The sequence below is a fragment of the Homo sapiens genome, chromosome X, assembly GCF_000001405.40.
Source record: "Homo sapiens chromosome X, GRCh38.p14 Primary Assembly".
Lineage (NCBI taxonomy): Eukaryota > Metazoa > Chordata > Mammalia > Primates > Hominidae > Homo > Homo sapiens.
The window spans coordinates 40,991,239-40,998,185 of record NC_000023.11 but is presented as its reverse complement, the minus strand read 5'-3'; the positions used below and the strand labels follow the sequence as shown (position 1 = coordinate 40,998,185).

Sequence of the window (6,947 nt, the reverse complement as noted above, 5' to 3'; positions counted from 1 at the left end):
GTCCGTGCCCCATCCATTGGATTTGGGGCAGCCCAGTGTTCTGTTTCATCCTCCCACTGCCAACCCGGAATCAGCCTCCAGACTCTCTTTCTGCCATGTTTTGTCATTCTCTAAGTGTACTCAGTCAGATGCCTCAGCAAGCTCTCTCAAAAATAGTCAAAAGAGTGATCATGTTTTACAAAGTTGCGGCCCAATGTGCAAAGTCACTACTTGGAGAGGATCTGATAAGCGTCTTACCTCTAGAACCCAAAGACAGGGGATTGGATATGGAATCAATTCTAGTTGCCCCCAACCCACCCACCCCATGACTGGATTGTGGAGAATTAAGCTTAATTTGTTCAGCCTTTCCTTTGTATATTTTTTAAAATAAAAAATAATGCGAATTCAATTTTACGTAAGCAATAGAGATCTTTCCTGTATTTTTATTCAATTCTCCAAACCATCATTCGACTTTAAATTGGATTCACAGATACAATGTTTGGAGATATTTTTTCTCACTGAGATTTAGTACCTTATTTGTTCCTGGCCCATGTGATTCCCAGGTATCTGAAATGTATAAATTATTTATAGTCCAGATGGTGATCTGATACTATCTGCATCTAAAAATGTTCTGTGCTTTTGCTGCAGACACAGACGTTCAATTACAAAATTCAGGTTGGTCTTTAGGTCCTAGCCTGATATCTCAAGGCATTCTTGATTACAAAGAAATACTCCAAATTCCAGCAGCCTTTTTTCCGTTTGCTTTCATTGCTTAGCATTAAAAACCATTCCTCTGTGGGAGCTACCAAGTTAAGGAAGAGAAAAGGGGGGAAGTTCCTTTTTTTTTTTCTCTTGCCGGAGGAGGGAATTTTTTTTTTTCTTAGCCAAATTGAAAACTTCTAAGTTTCAAAATGGGAGATTGTGACTAGATTGCTATTTGTTCCCCCAAATCCTTTTTGTTCATTTTTTGGTAGCAATAGAAACCCCGAATTTAAGAAGGTAAAATGGCTTCCCAGAATAGAGACTACATTACCCAGCCTCCCTTATAGCTAGATGTGGTCATGTGACTACATTCTGGCCAACTATATGTGAGCAGAACTTATGTATGCAACTTCTGGATCATGTCCCTAAAGGAGCAGAGCTTGCTATCTGCTTCCTCTTTGCCCTTCTTGCTGGTTGGAAGAGGGATGTGGTAATGAGCCATCTGGGACCATGTGGACAAAGCTTCACTCAGGGATGGCAATTTCATAACACAGGAGGAGCCCAGGAACCACCATGGTGCTGAAAGAGCAGCTCTGGACTACATATGCCCAGAGGGAGAAATGCTCTGCTTTCTTTATCGTAAGACATTGTTATTTTGGTTCTCAGAGACAACAGCCAAAACTATATTCTAACGAAAAACACAGACACTTAGGCAGAATTGGAGATAATTTTGATCAAAAGACTAGAAGAGGCCTGGTGCAGTGGCTCACACCTGTAATCCCAGCACTTTGGGAGGCGGAGGCGGGCGGATCACCTGAGGTCAGACCAGCCTGGCCAACATGGCGAAACTCCGTCTCTACTAAAAATACAAAAAGTTAGCCAGGCATGGTGTCAAGCGCCTGTAATCCCAGCTACTCAGGAGGCTGAGGCAGGAGAATCACCTGGACCCGGGAGGCGGAGTTTGCAGTGAGCTGAGATTGTGCCATTGCGCTCCAGCCTGGGCAACAGAGGCGAAACTCTGGAAAAAAAAAAAGACTAGGAAAGGCCTGGTGCAGTGGCTCATGCTCGTAATCCCAGCACTTTGGGAGGCCTGGAGGATCACTTGAGCCCAGGAGTTGAGACCAGCCTGGGCAACATAGGAGGACCCAGGTCTCTACAAAAAATTAAAAAATTAGCCGGACATGGTGGAGCATGTTTGTGGTCCCAGCTACTCAGGGAGCTGAGGTGGGAGGATTGCTTGACCCTGAAGCCCAGGAGGTCCAGGCTGCAGTGAGCTGTGATCACCACTGCACTTCAGCTTCGGTGACAGAGCGAGAGCCTGTCTCAAAAAAAAAAAAAAAAGAGAAAAAAAAGAAAAGAAAAAGAAAAGAAAAAAGACCAGGAATGTCCTATCGCCAAGAAAAGTCTCAACTCTTCATTTTCAATTGAGGATTGGATGAAAGGAAAGCACTGATAGATTTTTCTTTTCTTTCTTTTTTATTTCTTTAGACAGAGTCTCGCTCTTGTCACCCAGGCTGGAGTGCAGTGGCGCCGTCTCGGCTCACTGCAACCTCCGCCTCCAGGGTTCAAGCGATTCTCCTGCCTCAGCCTTGCAAGTAGCTAAGACTACAGGCATTCGCCACCGTGCCCAGCCTGATTTTTCTTGACACATGGTCATATATATGTTTTGATTAGATGCTTGAAGAAAGGTCCTCTCCATTCTGAGGATAACTGTCTTTTTGCCTCCTCCTAAGATTGTACCAGGTACTGATTCAGCACTCAGAAACAAATCAAAAGCAAATCTCCAAAAAGACAGGAAGGGTCTCAAAGATGTCAGGAAAAGTTAACTAAATACTTAAGGACAAGTCTCAAAGAGGCCAGAGAAGGTCTGAAACTGGTTAGTAAGAGTCTCAAATAGGTCAGGAAAAGACTCACATATGACAGGAAGAATAAAAAAAGTGAGAATGGAGAAGTCAGAAAGTATCAAAAAAGAAGGAAGGATCTCAAACATGTCCAAAAGGGTCTCAGTCAGACAGGAAGACTCTCAAATAGTAAGGAAAAGTCTCCAACACCTTGGCAAAGGTTTCCAGCAAGCCAGAAATTGTCTCAAATACATCAGGAAGAGTCTCAGACAAGTCAGGGAGAGCTTTAAACAAGTCAATAACAATCTCAAATACTTCTGGAAGGTTCTCAACTCAAGAAGGGTATCGAATACATAAGGAAGGATCTCAAACAGAAGAAAACAATCTTGAATAGTCAGAAAACATCTAAAGCAAGATAAGAAAGGTCTCAAATATGTCACAAAGGGCCCCCAAATAGTCTGAAAGAGCTCAAAAAATTATGAAGGATCTTAAGTATCAGGAAACAGCTCGAGCAAGTTATAGAAGGTCACGAACGTGTTAGGAAAGTGTCTTAAAGTCATCAGGAAGAGTTTTAGATACATCAGGAAGGGACTCAGACAAGAAGGGTCTCAAACATGTCAGTCAAGGTCTTAAGCAGACAGTAAGAGATTCAAATACATAAGCAAGGGTCACAAAGTTGTAAGGAAACGTTTTAATGATCTTTGAAAGGGTGTTGGCCGGGCGCAGTGGCTCACACTTGTAATCACAGCACTTTGGGAGGCCGAGGTGGGTGGATCACGAGGTCAGGAGTTCAAGACCAGCCTGGCCAACGTGGTGAAACCCCATCTCTACTAAAAACACAAAAAATTAGCCTGGCCTGGTGGCGTTCGCCTGTAGTCCCAGCTACCCAGGAGGCTGAGACAGGAGAATTGCTTGAACCTGGGAGGCGGAGCTTGCAGTGAGCAGAGATAGCACCACTGCATTCCAGCCTGGGCGACAAGGCGAGACTCTGTCTCAAAACAGAAAAAAAAAAAAAGAAGGGGTCTTACACAGACAGGGAGAATCTGTACTAAGATAGAGAAGCTTCAAAAAAGGGTCCCAGGCCAGGTGTGGTGGCTCACGCCTGTAATCCCAGCACTTTGGGAGGCCGAGGCAGGTGTATCACTTGAGGTCAGGAGTTCAAGACCAGCCTGGCCAACATGGTAATCCCAGCACTTTGGGAGGCCAAGGCGGGTGTATCACTTGAGGTCAGGAGTTCAAGACCAGCCTGGCCAACATGGTGAAACCCCATCTCTACTAAAAATACAAAAATCAGCCAGTTGTGGTGGCATGTACCTGTAGTCCCCAGCTACTTGGGAGGCTTAGGCTGCACTCCAGCCTGGGTGACAGAGCCAGATCCTGTCTTAAAAAAAGGTCCCAAAAGGGCCCTTTCTGGGAAGGGTCTCAAACATGTCTGGAAGGTTCTGAAACAAGCCAGAAAATATCACGTACATGTCAGGAGGTGTCTCAAGATTTTTAGGGAGTCTTGAATAACCAGGAATGATACCAAATAGGTCAGGAAGTGTCTCAAACAGGTCAGCAAGCATCTCAAGTATGTCAGGAAGAGTCAAGTAAAATGAGGCAAGTAAAAAATGGTTTCATACGCATAAGGAAGAGTCTCAAATAGATTAGGAAGGGTCTCAAATTCACCAGGAATGATTTCAAACAGAAAAGAGTCTCAAAGTTGAGAAACTTTTGAAGCAGGTCAGTAAGTATCTCTAACAAATTGGCATGTTTTGCAAACATATCAGGAAGGGTCCGAAAGAAAGGGAAAGTGTCTTAAATACACCATGAAAAGCCTCACATATGTCAGGCATCTCAAATATGTCATGAAGAGTATCAAACAAGTCAGAAAAGGCCTCCAACATGACAGGAGCAGCCTCAAAGTCATGAGGAAAAGTCTTGCATGTATTAAGGTGGGCTTCAAATACATCAGAAAGCATCTCATGTCTGTCCAGAAGAGTCTCAAGTATCAATACAGACTGGATAAAGAAAATGTGGTACATATACAACATGGAATACTATGCAGCCGTAAAAAGGAACAAGATCATGTCCTTTGCAGGGACATGGATGGAGCTGGAAGCCATTATCCTCAGCAAACTAACACAGGAACGGAAAACCAAACACTGCATGTTCTCATCTATAAGTGGGAGCTGAACAATGAGAACACAGGGACACAGGGAGGGAGCAACACACACTGGGGCCTGTCTGGGGGGTGGGGTGGGGCAGGAGGAGGGACAGCATCAGGATAAATATCTAATGCATGCTGGGCTTAATACCTAAGTGATGGGTTGATAGGAGCAGCAAACCACCATGGCACACTTTTACCTGTGTAACAAGCCTGCACATCCTGCACATGTATCCCGGAACTTAAAATAAAATAAAATAAAATAAAAATATGTCAGGAAAAGCATCTAGCAAACAAGCCAAGAAGGGTCTAAACATTATGAGGAAGACTTTTACCAGATCAGGATGGGTCTCAAACATTTCAGAAAGGGTCTTAAGCGAGTAAGAATGAGTCTCGAACCAGTGAGGAAGGACATAAAACATGACAGGAAGGGGCCGGGCACGGTGGCTCACGCCTGTAATCCCAGCACTTTGGATCACGGGAGGCCAAGGCGGGCGGATCACGAGGTCAGGAGATCGAGACCATCCTGGCTAACACGGTGAAACTCCATCTCTACTAAAAATACAAAAAATTAGCTGGGCACGGTGGCAGGCGCCTGTAGTCTCAGCTACTCGAGAGGCTGAGGCAGGAGAATGGCGTGAATCCGGGAGGCGGAGCTTGCAGTGAGCCGAGATAGCGCCACTGCAGTCCGGCCTGGGCGAAAGAGCGAGACTCTGTCTCAAAAAAAAAAAAAAAAAAAAAAAGAATGACAGGAAGGGGCTCAAAGTCATCAGGAAGAGTCTCAAATAGTCAAGAAGGGTCTCAGATAAGTCAGAGAGTCTCAAATAATCAGGAAGAGAATTTAACACACCGGGAAATTTTTTTTTTTTTTTTTTTGAGACAGGGTCTCACTCTGTCATCTAGGCTGGAGTACAGTGGCGCCATCATGGCTCACTGCAGCCTTGACCTACTGGGCTCAAGCAACCCTCCCACCTCAGCCTCCCGAGTAGCTGGGACCACAGGAGCACACCACCATGCCCATCTAGTTTTTTATTTTCTAACGTTTTTGTAGAGACAGGATCTCACTTTGCTGCCCAGGCTGGTCTCAAACTCCTGGCCTCAAGCATCATTCTGACTTAGCCTCCCAAAGTGCTGGGATTACAGGTGTGAGACACTGTGCCCATCCAGAAACGTCTTAAATTAGGAAGTGTTTTAACCATTTGAGTAAAGATCTCAAACAAGTCAGAAAGAGTCCCAGTCAAGTTAGGCAGAGTCTCAAACAATCAGGAGAGGTCCAAAATACACCAGAAAGGATCTCAACATGTTAGTCAAGGTCTAAACAAGTCAGGAAGGGTTTCAAATAATCAGGAAGAGACATTTACATTTCAGGAAGCATCTCGACCGGGCAGAGAGTGTCTCAAATAATCAGGAAAAGACTTCAGCAAATAAATAACTTTCTCAACCATGTAAGGAAGGAATAAAACAAGTGAGACCGGAAGGGTCTTACTCAAGTTAGGAAGATCTCAAACAGAAAGGAAGAGATCAAGTATAGCCAGAAGGATCTGAAACATGTCAGGCAGTGTCTCCCAGAAGTTGGAAAGTGTCTCAATCAAGTCAGAATGACCTGAAACGTGTCAGGAAGAGTCTGAGACAAGTCACGTAGGGTCCCAAACACTTTAGGAAGAGTCATTTTGTTACTCTTCATTTTAAAAACAGCTTTATTGAGTTGTAAAACACATTCCATAGAATCCACCCATTTGTTTTTTAATTTTAATTTTTTTTGAGACGGAGTCTTGCTCTGTTGCCCAGGCTGGAGTGCAGTGACACAATCTTGGCTCACTGCAACCTCCACCTCCCGGGTTCAAGTAATTCTCCTGCCTCAGCCTCCAGAGCAGCTGGGTTCACAGGCACTGGCCACCATGCCTGGCTAATTTTTGTATTTTTAGTAGAGATGGGGTTTTACCATGTTGGCCAGGCTGGTTTCGAACTCCTGGCCTCAAGTGATCCGCCCACCTTGGCCTCCCGAAGTGCTGGGATCACAGGTGTAAGCCACCATGCCTGGCAATTTAAAGTGTACAATTTAGTGGTTTAATTAGTATATTCACATATATGTGCAACCATCACCACAGTCAATTTTAGAACATTTTCATCACTTCAAAAGAAACCCTATCCTCAGCCAGGCGCTGTGGCTCACACCTGTAATCCCAGCACTTTGGGAGGCCGAGGTGGGTGGGTCACTTGAGGTCAGGAGTTTGAGACCAGCCTGGTCAATATGGTGAAACCTTGTCTCTACTAAAAAT

General features: G+C 44.6%; 2 annotated features.

Annotated features, from left to right (window-relative positions):
- Positions 876–1,170: an enhancer, noted in NCBI's record as "tiled region #12561; HepG2 Activating DNase unmatched - State 1:Tss, and K562 Activating DNase matched - State 5:Enh". NCBI's record gives its function as "activates a minimal TATA promoter and a strong SV40 promoter by Sharpr-MPRA in HepG2 and K562 cells {active_cell/tissue: HepG2 | K562}" and the evidence as "EXISTENCE:reporter gene assay evidence [ECO:0000049][PMID:27701403]".
- Positions 1,052–1,111: a silencer, noted in NCBI's record as "silent region_20769". NCBI's record gives its function as "represses an Ori minimal core promoter by ATAC-STARR-seq in GM12878 lymphoblastoid cells {active_cell/tissue: GM12878}" and the evidence as "EXISTENCE:reporter gene assay evidence [ECO:0000049][PMID:35858748]".